At 41.1% G+C, this 13685-nt stretch overlaps 1 protein-coding gene across 3 annotated transcripts in view; it reads right to left on the bottom strand.

The window, feature by feature from the left end:
• Positions 1-1252: 1252 nt before the first annotated feature.
• CAP2 (cyclase associated actin cytoskeleton regulatory protein 2) overlaps positions 1253-13685 on the bottom strand; it is a 164186-nt gene continuing 151753 nt past the window's right edge. For all 3 annotated transcript variants that reach the window (NM_006366.3, NM_001363533.2, NM_001363534.2), the window contains 2 exons: positions 7429-7569; positions 1253-2674 (listed from right to left, as the gene is read on the bottom strand). In NM_006366.3, the coding sequence (NP_006357.1) occupies positions 2591-2674; positions 7429-7569 (225 nt within the window). In that variant the 3' untranslated portion in view covers positions 1253-2590. The remainder of the gene's footprint in view (positions 2675-7428; positions 7570-13685) is intronic.

Here is a 13685-nt window from a genome sequence, read left to right as displayed (position 1 = left end):
ACTCCTGACCTCAAGTGATCTGCCCACCTCGGTCTCCCAGAGTACTGGGATTACAGGCGTGAGACACCACGCCCGGCCCTGACACTGATTTTCATTTTGACTTTTTGGGAATGGATGTGACAGCAATTGTGCTAAGTACAGATTTCTTAATGCGTTTACAATATTAATTAGGTCACAGCACTGGTAACACAGGAATTCAAATGGTGCAAGAAACAAGGCACACTGGTGATGCAGCATTGTTTTTGGTAATTGCTTATACATTGCCAAAGGTTTTTCAACAAATTCAACCTACTCTTATGTTACTTAAGTAGATGGTTTAAGGCAGTGGTCCCCAAGCTTTTTGCACCAGGGACCGGTTTTGTGGAAGACAACTTTTCCACAGACAGGGTGGGGGGGTGGTGCATAATTTCGAGATGAAACTGTTCCACCTCAGATCATCAGGCCTTAGGTGCTCATAAGGACCACGCAACCTAGATCCCTCGCGTGCACAGTTCACACCAGGGTTCACACTCCTATGAGAATCTAACGCTGTGGCTGATCTGGCAGGAGGTGGAACTCAGGTGACAATTCTGGCTCGCCAGCCCTTCATCTTCTGCTTTGCCGCCCAGTTCCTAACAGGCCACGGACCAGCTACCAGTCCACAGCTCGGGGGTTGGGGATCCCTGGCTTAAGGGATACAGGGCTGGTAAAGTAATCGTTGAGCCTCAAGTCCAGATTTTCAATACATATGGTGAGGCATGCTGAAAGACTGATGTCAAGTATGAGGCAAGCTGACAGATTCTAAGAATTATGGGTGGATTTATTTCTCAATACAAAATTATCACTATATTATGGGTATATAATATATCCATTTTAGGATGTTCTCAGTTTTTTTCTTTTAGGAGTTTACTTATACATTTATTATGCTATTTATAGTTATATGTTTATAAGGTATATATGGTATTTATAAAATCACTTATGTTCTGGGATGTTTACATTAACAAAGATCTGCGAGCAGGATTTTCTCAGTAAAGAGGACTTGATTTACAAAACTGAATTCTAGAATTTTCTGACAGTAAATCCAATTGCAAATGGCTTTATCTGATATCTATCTCAAAGGAGACATCATTCATCAGGGAAGCTGATGGCATGCTGGATAAATTCTCTAATTCAACCCGAAGGAGTCAGCTGTCTTTTCTAAGTCTGACACATGAGCAAGGAGCAAATCAAAGTAGAAAAGAAATCATTTTAACATCCAGAATTCATCACAGTATTTAAACAATTAGAATTTTACTTTATTTCAGAATAAGTTTACAGTTGAAAAATGATTATTTACTAAAGCCACATTATTCATACAGACAAAACTTTTATAGCAAAACCTTGGTACATGAGCATTAATAATTTGAATACTATATGGATATAGAAGATATTTAAAAAATGGAAACAATGTATTCCAAAGGCTGTAAGAGGCACAATATATATGCTTGTACTGGGCCTGCAAGCATTATACTATAATTCATTAAATATGATCCAAGAAGTTGCAGATTTTTCAGCACTATGTACTGAAAAGATAAAAAGGAATATCATAGCTACTCTTACGCTGAAGAAGCATCTACTATCAAGACTACAAAATAGGAGCAGCAAGCCAAACCAACAGATAATGCCTTAGGTTTTAGGAGAAATAATACATGTATGGCTTTTTCATGTTCATTTTCGAGCTTGGTTAGCAAGTCTGGCAGGTGGAAAAGAGGAAATTAGTCTATAAGAAAACGTTAAAGACATAATTTACAAGGCATCTGATATTTAACATGTTCAAACTTGGAAAATAATAACTGAGCTTGATTTTAGAGCAAAGTTGCGAGGTATTACATAGCAAAAAAAATGATTTCTTCTGTTTAATGTTTTTGGCATAAGAATCTCTTATGCAGAAGAAAAGCAAGTTTTCAAATGACATGGTGGAAAAATATGTAAGATGAATAATTAGAATTGACTTTCGGTTTTCAGTAACTACAGAGAATATAGGTCTTCCAAGGACCAAGGAACTGAATTTGGTCCTTTATAAACTCTTATGTCTTTTACAAGCGTGGGTTGAAATATGTACTCATGCTGACAGTATCCACGCTGATAAAGGTGAACATGTGGTAACAATAAGAAAAAACGTGTACATTTTTCAGGGCACACTACTACTTCTACATTATATTGAAATTGCCTAAAAGGTAAAAATGTACATCTTAGATTCTCAAAGGTTTTATTTTTTAACTAGCAATGAAATATAAGTGTAAAAGTGAATCATGCAGTCTTTTTACCTATCAGTTACTGTGTTCATGATATGAGGGGAACAGAATTCTTTTTTTTTTTCCTTTAAATCCCTAATGTTCACAAGTCATCATGTGGAACTAAAATCACACACAAAGGCAAATCATGAGGAAACGTTAAATATTTCAAAATGCCCACGAGGCGTGCCAGAAACAGTGCTGTATCTATAGCACAGAATCGTTGGAGGCCAAAGCTAAAGCAGTAGGGGCTACTGCAACTTCTAGCTCTTTACTGCTGCTTTTTTGTTTGTTTGATAGAGGGGGATTCAGGTGAGGGGGTTCGGTCTCTCAGGAAGTTAGGCCATAATTTCTGCAGGTTCAGTGATTAACTTGGATCCATCCCATGCTGTCTTGAACTGTTCAGGAATGGGAAATTCTCTCTGGAAAAAGGCAAGAACAACAAAGTTATTTAAACTACAACAAAGTTATTTAAACTAAGGCTTCCTTTTGCAAACAGATGGTGAGGCTGATTTGTGCCACATGATAGGCAAAGAAATTCGATCGAATTGCAAGCTGCGTCATGGGGAGGTCTTTGTCACGTGGAGACTTGTGTATGTCATGTGTCAGTTCTGTGACTTCAAGCCAGTATCATCATTAAAGCTAAAAGCATCATTTAGAATGAACCAGGCATCCTTCTAAGCACTGGAGATAGATGAACTCAGCAGATCTCCTATAATAACCCTATGAGCTAGGAGTTCTTGGGGATGCCATCTGTAGGAAACAGAGGCCTGAGAGTAAGCAACTGGCCCCAAATGATGTGGCCAGTAACAGCGCAGCTAGAATTCAAATCTGCGCTCTATCTTACCTACTACTCTCCACTAAACTTTAACATGCACATGAATCAACTGGGATCTTATGAAAATGCAGATTCTGGCCGGGTGCAGTGGCTTAAGCCTGTAATCTCAGAACTTTGGGAGGCCAAGGCAGGGGGATCACCTGAGGTCAGGAGTTCGAGACCAGCCTGGCCAACATGGTGAAACCCTATCTCTACTAAAAAAATACAAAAAATTAGCCAGGAATGGTGGCATGCGCCTGTAGTCTCAGCTACTCGGGAGGCTGAAGCAGGAGAATCGCTTGAACCCAGGAGGCAGAGGTTGCGGTCAGCCGAGATCATGCCACTGGACTCCAGCCTGGGCAACAAAAGTGAAAACTCCATCTCCAAAAAATAAAATAAAATAAAATAATAATAATAATAATAAAATGCAGATTCTGACCCAGGATCTTATTAAAATGCAGATTCTCTCTGGCTGGGCTCTGTGGCTCATGCCTGTAATCCTAGGACTTTGGGAGGCCAAGGTGGGTGGATCACCTGAGGTTGGGAGTTCGAGACCAGCCTGACCAACATGGAGAAACCCCGTGTCTACTAAAAATACAAAATTAGCCGGGCGTGGTGGCGCATGACTGTAATCCCAGCTACTCGGGAGGCTGAGGCAGGAGAATCACTTGAACCCATGAGGCAGAGCTTGTGGTGAGCCGAGATTGCGCCATTGCACTCCAGCCTGGGCAACAAGAGCAAAACTCTGTCTCAGAAAAAAAAAATGCAGATTCTGATTCAGGATCTTATGAAAATGCAGATTCTGATTCAGTAGGTCTGGGGAATGGAATGAGAATCTGCATTTCCAACAAGCTCCCAGGTGATGCCAATGCTGCTGGTTCCAATCACATGGAGTAGAAAGGTTTTATCCCAGAGGTAGCTCTCTACTCTTTGATAAATTGTAAAAATGAGCCTAGGGTTATATACACGTTGGTTACCCTTCACCAAGGCACTCTACTTCTCCCATTGGAAAATACACGTACACACACGTACAGACAAAGAATAATAGAGAATAGTCAAAATAAAAGTAGTCTAAGTCAACACTCTGCTTTCCCAGACAGTGATTCTCCAGTCATTTCAGAAGAGGATAGAAGACCTCCTCCAAGGCAAGGAAGAAGGACAGAGACCTTCAGAAGAAGATAGAAAACCTCTCTAAGGCAAGGAGGCCTTGGACCTGTCTTCTGGGCCTCCTCGGACTTCCAGTCCATGCGGTGCTCATTGAAACCTCATGTGTCTGATAAGCTGATGCCCATGATCATGAGCTGTGGTGTTTCCATGGAACACACATGGGTACCTATCTTCCTAGATGTAGGATCCAACTGTTTCTTTGGGATGAAGCCATTCATTCATTCAAAAGGAAAGGCCTGGGCCAGGCACGGTGGCTGACACCTGTAATCCCAGCACTTTGTGAGGCTGATGCCAGCAGATCCTCTGAGCCCAGAAGTTCGGGACCAGCCTGGGCAACATAGCGAGACCCCACTGTATAAGGACAAGCCTTACACAGTGTAGTGCTGCTGAAGAGCCACTCTGATTTGGTATCTCTTTTGGCAGAGTTGCAGGGAAGGATTCCCAGGAGTGGGGATGGTAATCCCACCCTCTCCATTGTCTCTGCCTATCCTCAGGGACACTGTTTCTACAAAACATACAAAAATTAGCAGGGTGTGGTGGCACACGCCTGTAGTCCCAGCTACTTGAGAGGCTGAGGCAGGAAGATCGATTGAGCCCGGGGGGTCGAGGTTGCAGTGAGCCATGATCGCACCACTGCACTCCAGCCTGGTCAACAGAGCAAGACCCTGTCTCAGACAAACAAACAAACAAATAAATAAAATAAAAGGCAAAGCCCATGCTATAATGAGTGATGTATTCTTCTTGAGTAAAATCTGCAATGGAAAAATCTTGAAGTAAAGAACCCACAATCTGAATAACGTGTGTGTTTGTGCAGCCAATATTCCTTCTGGGGCTCTTCTGGATGGGTAGATGAGGCTTGGTGTTTGTTCTCAAGAACCAGGCCAAGTAGAGAATGTGCCAGATGAAGGCACCTCTTTGATAGTAATTGCACAACAGCTGTCCCAAATCTGTTCCTGGCTGTGAGGGGTTAGTAATATGCTAACGAGTCTTCTCTGGGAGACCAATTTCTTTCAGGACGAATCATCTCCTCCATCCATTCCCACACCATAATGCCCATGGCAGGTCCTCTGTGTTGTTCCCTACCAGCTCCAACCGAGAACATGTGAAGAGGGCCACAAGGTAATTGACCTGTAAGAGGCAAGATCTTGTTTTTTTTTTTTTTTTGAGATGGAGTCTTGCTGTGTTGCCCAGGCTGGAGTGCAGTGGCGTGATCTCAGCTCACTGCAACCTCTGCCTCCCAGGTTCAAGTGACTCTCCTTCTTCAGCCTCCTGAGTAGCTGGGACTACAGGCGTGTGCCACCACGCCCAGCTAATTTTTTGTATTTTTAGTAGAGATGGGGTTTCACTGTGTTAGCCAGGATGGTCTTGATCTCCTGAGCTCGTGATCTGCCCGCCTCGGCCTCCCAAAGTGCTGGCATTTACAGGCGTGAGCCACAGCACGCGGCCAAGACCTTGGTTTTTAGCATGAACGCTCAGGTTTTGATTTACACTCATCCTTTAGGCCGGTGGATTTCAATGTTGGCTCCCCACTGGAATCACCTGGGAAGCTTTAACAGTTACAGGTGCCTGGGTCCCACGCCCATAGATTCCAGCTTCATTAGTCTGCAGTGTTCATCCAAATCCCACTGCTTTTCTTAGCAGATCCAGTCCCATGCAGCTGAGCCTTCCTTCTGCTTAAACAGCTGCAAAGGCCAGGGCTCCCTCCAATTTTTGACTCTCCTACTCTGAAGCTGTTGGCATCAGCTCTTCAGGAATTTTTTTAGGTGGAGGGCCCAAGAGAGGACTCTTCTGTATCTCAGGGTTAGACTGTCCATACACACTTACTAGTAAAGCATGGCCTGAGGCTTGCAGAGTTTTGTTTTTTTAAACTGAAATGATGAATTCTGGCCTGTAATGTATGACACGTGGCTGAGCAGAGCTGACGAACTTACTGCCAGGTGGGGAAGGGAGAATGTGGCAGCAGTCACACCGTCTGCTCAAGGAGATCAACCTGTGTGTTGATTGCTGTGTAGGCCCTGGCAATTGACCCCTTAGGCTGAGGGAGCTCCTCTTCCAGATGTTTTGCCTGCTAAGTTATGTTTTCTCCCATCCTTCCCTGGTTCACTGGCTCCCTGCACAGGCAGACTTAGAGGGAATTTTCCCTGTTTTTGTTTGTTTGTTTGTTTGTGACTGAGTCTCACTCTGTCGCCCCGGCTGGAATGCAATGGCACAATCTCAGCTCACTGCAACCTCCGCCTCTCGGGTTCAAGTAATTCTCCTGCCTCAGCCTCCCGAGTAGCTGGGATTCACACGGCTAATTTTTGTATTTTTAGTAGAGACGGGCTTTTGCCGTGTTGGCCAGGCTGGTCTCAAACTCCTGACCTCAAGTGATCTGCCCGCCTCTGCCTCCCAAAGTGCTGGCATTACAGGGGTAAGCCACCATGCTTGGCCTTCTCTGTATTTATTTCCTCACTTTCAAGTAGCAACTAGCAGATCCATCACACTTCATGAACCAGGAAATGTACTTATTTATTCATACTCCCTTTTCAAAGTGTGAGAATACGTGTATGGTTCTTTGAGAAAGTGCTTTGTTGAGGAGAGAAAGCTGAGAAAATAAATAGTGGCCAAGTCTTTTAGGCTAGTGTTTCTCAGAAGGGCCATTGGATGGACTTAAGGGATACATGCCAGTTAAAAATCTGGATTCCTGGGCCTTACTCTAGGCCTCCTGAATCCAACCTCCAGCTGGAAGATTTGGGAACTGGCATTTTCATAAAACTTCCCGATTCTTACACTTAACCTCTCACTTAAGCATAGCTGCACAAATAGCCCTACTTACTGTCTTTTCTCTGTCCTCACATTTTTTCCCCTAAGTATTTATTTCTCCTTCTTTCCTGTTTACCTCCACCAGAGCAAAGGAAAATATTTAGTCCTACCTAATACGAACTCAGATGCATGCTGTGCTATTTGATAAACGCTGGTCCATTAAATGAATTATTAGTACACTACCTTGAGAATCGGAAATCCAGGAGTGAGTACAGTCAAGAAGCTAATAGGCGGGAAGAGATGTGGAAGACAGCTCCCTGAATTCCTCGCCTGCCTGTGAATTATGCTACAAATAAAGCTCGCAGGTTGGTAGCTGATTAATCAATCTCTAAGAATGTTAATAATGAAGGCTCCAGAAAAATTCTTGACAGCCTTTTGAAAGGTACTTACATAATCACCATCCTGAGGGATAAGTATGTTCATTTCAGATGACTTGGCGCTCACGATCTCACAGTCTAATGCATCTTCACTGAGGTATATGTGGCAACCTTCTGTCTTATTAATGGAAATTGTTGGCACTCTCCCCATTACCTGAAATAGGAAAAAATACCTGGGACCAAAGCAAAGAAACAGAAATAACAATGCCCTCGAATAAATACAATCTCAATTCCTCTTGGCTTTAGCTTGGGCTTAACCAAGCATTAGAATTCACTGGGTCAAAGCTGGGGAGGTGAGTTAATGGCAAAGTCTTCAGGCAGAATAGGATAGGTGTCACTCAGGGACAGAATGAAAAGACCACACAAGTGGATTCTCAAACCTCAGTGTCTCTTTCCTGAGACAAAATTAAGAGATTAATTTGGAAACAGCAGCTAGATGTTCAGAAAAAGCCTCACAACCCTGTTAGTAGATTCAAAACATGTATTTGATTTCATGATAAAAGAAACAAGATGCATTCATATTCATTTGCTTGAAATTTTACTTTTGACAAATCTCTATGAAACTAGGATTAAAACAAGTTCTAATGTTGTCACTTACAAGTAAAACTATTCTTGAGTAAAAACTGAGTAGATTTTTCCTGAACTTAAATAAGAAACACTACCATTCTTTTCACATAAGTCCTTTGCTAGATAAAAATCTCAGTGGCTGAATTTGAGGCTTACATGAGATGAATGTCTAGGTATTTTGAAATGTATTCATTTCAGGAGACAAAACTGGGGGCTTGGCTCAGGACACTCATTATATAGATAAGTAGGATCATACAAAAGAGGAGGCGATTCTTTGTATTGTTTATAAATATCGAAGTGCTATAAAAATTCTGATCGGTTTTAAATTTCTCTTCTAACAATCAGTTTTCAGACATACCCCCAAAATCTCCATAAGGGCGGACTGTTCCCCCAAAGACCATATTACAACTCTATAATTTTCCTTCTTGTCATGGTAATTAAAGCGATAAAGACATCTCTTCTTTCACCGTGGAGAAAAGGCTGGATTGCAAACCAAGAGCAACTTTTATTGATGGTGCGAGTGATGTAAAGAATTCCTTGTGGGGAGTCTGGCCAGGTCACTCTAGTTCTCTGTTTCCTCCTCTCTCTCCATAGAAACTGAACACTGAGTTGGAATTGAGCCCCAGTGCAAAAAAAAAAAAAAAAAAAAAAAAAAAGGCAGGGGTAGTTCAAGGTCAGGTACACATAGGGCTCTACTACAAATAATAATACAGCACATATATGTATATTTAATAATGTGTCTGCAGTAATGTTTTGGTAATTTCTAGATGTCTTTTCTAAATTTATTTATTTATTTATTTATTTTGAGATAGAGTCTTGCTCTGTCACTCAGGCTAGAGTGCAATGGCGCCATCTCAGCTCACTGCAACCTCCACCTCTGTCTCGAACTCCTGACCTCAGGTGATCCACCTGCCTTGGCCTCCCAAAGTGCTGGGATTACAGGTGTGAGCCACTGCACCCGGCTGGTTCATTTTAGCTGCTATACGAGTTAAACTACCAACTAGTATCCTATTGGGAGGATTTATTTATTAACTTACCAACTGGTGGACATTTAAATTGTTTTTATTGCCATTATGAATGATATTGCAATAAACATTTTTACATTTGTCTCCTTGGCACACGTGCTGGGGCTTCTTTAGTGTATACACTAAGAGTGAAATTACTCAGTCACAGACTATGAATGTGACTTTCTTAGATGCTGCCAATTTGCATTGCAGTGAATGTCACAGATTTACTCCCCCAACACTGATGTATCAGGGTTCTCATTGTTTCACTTCCTTAGCAATCCTATAGCATCAGACTTTAGTATATAGGCAATCCTCAAATTGTAGTTCCTGTAGGCATAAGATTCAGTTAACCTAGCACCACGCAAAGTAAGGACAGTCTGAATGCAGAATGGGTGAGTGTGAGAAGACATCACTAATTGTGGTATTAACTGGCATCTATACTTCTACTAGTTAGGTAGGTTATACATATTTTCATATATTTATCAACCACTTTCTTTTTTGTCTGAATTGCCTTAATATTCTGTGCCCATTTTTCTATCAGATTGTTAGCCTTTTTCTTTCTTTCTTTCTTTTTTTTTGAAGATGGAGTTTCGCTCTTGTTGCCCAGGCTGGAGTACAATGGCACGATTCTTGGCTCACCACAACCTCTGCCTGCTGGGTTCAAGCAATTCTCCTGCTTCAGCCTCCTGAGTATCTGGAATTATAGGCATGCGTCACCATGCCCGGCTAATTTTGTATTTTCAGTAGAGACGGGACTTCTCCATGTTGGTCAGGCTGGTCTCGAACTCCCGACTTCAGGTGATCCACCCACCTTGGCCTCCCAAAGTTCTGGGATTACAGGCGTGAGCCACCGCGCCCAGCAGCCTTTTTCTTATTGATTTAAGTTCTTTATAAATTCTAGATACAAATCCTTTTCTATTATCTGCCTTGCAAATATCTTTCTTCAGTCCATGGCTTGTCTTTCAGCTTCATATGATGTCTTCTGTTAAACATATAATTTAAATTTTAATGTAGTTAAAATGACCAGTACTTTCTTTATGGTTTGTGCTTTTTGACCCTAATTAATTTATTTCCTACTCTGAGGCATAAAATTTTTCTTCTACATGTTATTATCAAAGTTTAAAAGTATTTATTTTTCACAATTAGCATTTTACTTTTATGTATGATGTGAGGTAGAATTCAGTGTATTTTTTTCCCACATGGATAATCAATTGTCCTAAAATACAAATTTCCATCTATGCATCTATTGATTTCAGGGCTCGCTAGTCTGCTTCATTTATCTGTTTTTGTATATCACTAACAATATAGCACTTTACAATGAGTCAATATCAGGCATGCAAGTCCCTTCACCTTATTCATCTTTCACACTGTTTAGCTATTCTTGTCCATTTGTTTTCCAAATGAATTTTAAGACCATTTTTCATTTAAAACTCTGTTGAGATTTTGAGGTGAATTTCATTAAACTCACATTAAATAGCTGAGACCACTGATAATGATGTCTTCCTGTCCATTTACTTACAACATCACTCTTGCATTCTTTGTAACTATCTCCCATTTCTGTTTGCTTTTTTTGCTAGGTACCTCACAGTTTTGTTGCACCTAGCAACAAAATAGCTGTTTCAACCTTATTTTCTATTGCATTTTCTTTTCTTTTCTTTCTTTCTTTCTTTTTTTTTTTGAGACAGAATCTAGCTCTGTTGCCAGGCTGGAGTGCAGTGGCGGGATCTTGGCTCACTGCAACCTCCGCCTCCCAGGTTCAAGCGATTCTCCGGCCTCAGCCTCCTGAGTAGCTGAGACTACAGGCGCCTGCACCATGACGAGCTATTTTTTTGTATTTTTTAGTAGAAATGGGGTTTCACCGTGTTAGCCAAGATGATCTCAATCTCCTGACCTCATGATCTGCCCGCCTCAGCCTCCCTAAGTGCTGGGATTACAGGCATGAGCCACCACGCTCGGCCTCTATTGCATTTTCTAAAACTTATTTGTGGTAGAAAGAAATGCTATTGATTTTTGCATGTTCATATTATACCCTACCATCTTGCTGAATGTTTTTTTAGTTTTATAGTTTCTTGAATCTCTTGGGTTTTATATAAAGGCACTTATTTTGTTGGGAAATAAGGGCATTTTTGTCTCTTCCTTTTCCAGTTTTATCTCTCTCAATCATTATCTTACTGCATAGGTTAGAACTTTTTTTTTTTTTTTTGAGACAGAGTCTCACTCTGTTGCCCAGGCTGAAGTGCAGTGGCGCGATCTCAGCTCACTGCAAGCTCTGCCTCCCGGGTTCATGCCATTCTCCTGCCTCAGCCTCCTGAGTAGCTGGGACTATGGGCACCCGCCACCACGCCTGGTTTATTTTTTGTATTTTTAGTAGAGACAGGGTTTCACTGTGTTAGCCAGGATGGTCTCAATCTCCGGACCTCGTGATTTGCCCACCTTGGCCTCCCAAAATGCTGGGATTACAGGCGTGAGCCACCGTGCCCGGTCAGTTAGAACTTTCAATGCATTATTGAACAAGAAGCAATGACAGGAGGAATTCTCTTCTTGTTTCTGACTTTATTTTCTTTTTCTTTCTTTTTTTTTCTATGCGTCTTCATTGCTGCAGAATTTTAATGGGAATTTTGAAGTTTCAAATGAAGTGTGATTTCTGCTATAGGAGTTCCACAGACACTCAATTCAGTTATGAAATGTAGTATATCTCTTCTGACTTACCTAGGATTATCAGATATAGATATATCTATAGATCTATGTGTGCATATATATGTGTTTACATGAGTACATTTAGAAGAATGAAATCATGCTCTACATAATGGTATAAGACTGTTATTTTCTCCTAATAAAGTACAATAAATGTATTTATAGATCACTTTAAAAAATGGTTACAGTGGCTTATAGTTCTCCTTGAAGAGGTCCTTCACATCCTTTGTAAGTTGGATTCCTAGGTATTTTATTCTCTTTGAAGCAATTGTGAATGGGAGTTCACTCATGATTTGGCTCTCTGTTTGTCTGTTATTGGTGTATAAGAATGCTTGTGATTTTTGCACATTGATTTTGTATCCTGAGACTTTGCTGAAGTTGCCTATCAGCTTAAAGAGATTTTGGGCTGAGACGATGGGGTTTCCTAGATATACAATCATGTCATCTGCAAACAGGGACAATTTGACTTCCTCTTTTCCTAATTGAATACCCTTTATTTCCTTCTCCTGCCTGACTCCCCTGGCCAGAACTTCCAACACTATGTTGAATAGGAGTAGTGAGAAAGGGCATCCCTGTCTTGTGCCAGTTTTCGAAGGGAGTGCTTCCAGTTTTTGCCCATTCAATATGATATTGCCTGTGGGTTTGTCATAAACAGCTCTTATTATTTTGAGATACGTCCCATCAATACCTAATTTATTGAGAGTTTTTATATCATTCAGGACATAGGCATGGGCGAGGACTTCATGTCTAAAACACCAAAAGCAATGGCAACAAAAGCCAAAATTGACAAATGGGATCTAATTAAACTAAAGAGCTTCTGCACAGCAAAAGAAACTACCATCAGAGCGAACAGGCAACCTACAGAACGGGAGAAAATTTTTGCAATCTACTCATCTGACAAAGGGCTAATATCCAGAATCTACAAAGAACTCAAACAAATTTACAAGAAAAAAACAAACAACCCCATCAAAAAGTGGGCAAAGGATATGAACAGACACTTCTCAAATGAGGACATTTATGCAGCCAACAGACACATGAAAAAATGCATCATCATCACTGGCCATCAGAGAAATGCAAATCAAAACCACAGTGAGATACAATCTCATACCAGTTAGCATGGCGGTCATTAAAAAGTCAGGAAACAACAGGTGCTGGAGAGGATGTGGAGAAATAGGAACACTTTTACACTGTTGGTGGGACTGTAAACTAGTTCAACCATTGTGGAAGACAGCGTGGTGATTCCTCAAGGATCTATAACTAGAAATACCATTTGACCCTGCCATCCCATTACTGGGTATATACCCAAAGGATTATAAATCATGCTGCTATAAAGACACATGCACACATATGTTTATTGCGGCACTATTCGCAATAGCAAAGACTTGGAACCAACCCAAATGTCCAACAATGATAGACTGGATTAAGAAAATGTGGCACATACACACCATGGAATACTATACAGCCATAAAAAAGGATGAGTTCATGTCCTTTGTAGGGACATGGATGAAGCTGGAAACCATCATTCTCAGCAAACTATCGCAAGGACAAAAAACCAAACACCGCATGTTCTCACTCATAGGTATTGAACAATGAGAACATTTGGACACAGGAAGGGGAACATCACACTCTGGGGACTGTTGTGAGGTTGGGGGAGGGGGAGGGATAGCATTAGGAGATATACCTAATGTAAATGACTAGTTAATGGGTGCAGCACACCAACATGGCACATGTATACATATGTAACAAACCTGCACATTGTGCACATGTACCCTAGAACTTAAAGTATAATACAAAAAAAATGGTTACACAGTATTCCACTGAATGGAATTCAGAAGTTTTAAATTTTTAGGTAGACATATCTGCCTATCTGTTTGAAAATTTCCTCTGTTTCTTCTTGGTTTAAGATTTTTTTCTCCCTCCAAAAACATGATGAATATTTAGAACTTCCCATTTTCACATTTTATACTTAATTTACTTGGTTGTGTATTTCAGATGTGATGTA

This window comes from Homo sapiens, chromosome 6 (genome assembly GCF_000001405.40).
Source record: "Homo sapiens chromosome 6, GRCh38.p14 Primary Assembly".
Taxonomy (NCBI): domain Eukaryota; kingdom Metazoa; phylum Chordata; class Mammalia; order Primates; family Hominidae; genus Homo; species Homo sapiens.
Note: the sequence above shows the minus strand (reverse complement) of the source record. Positions and strands in the feature narration are given on the sequence as shown.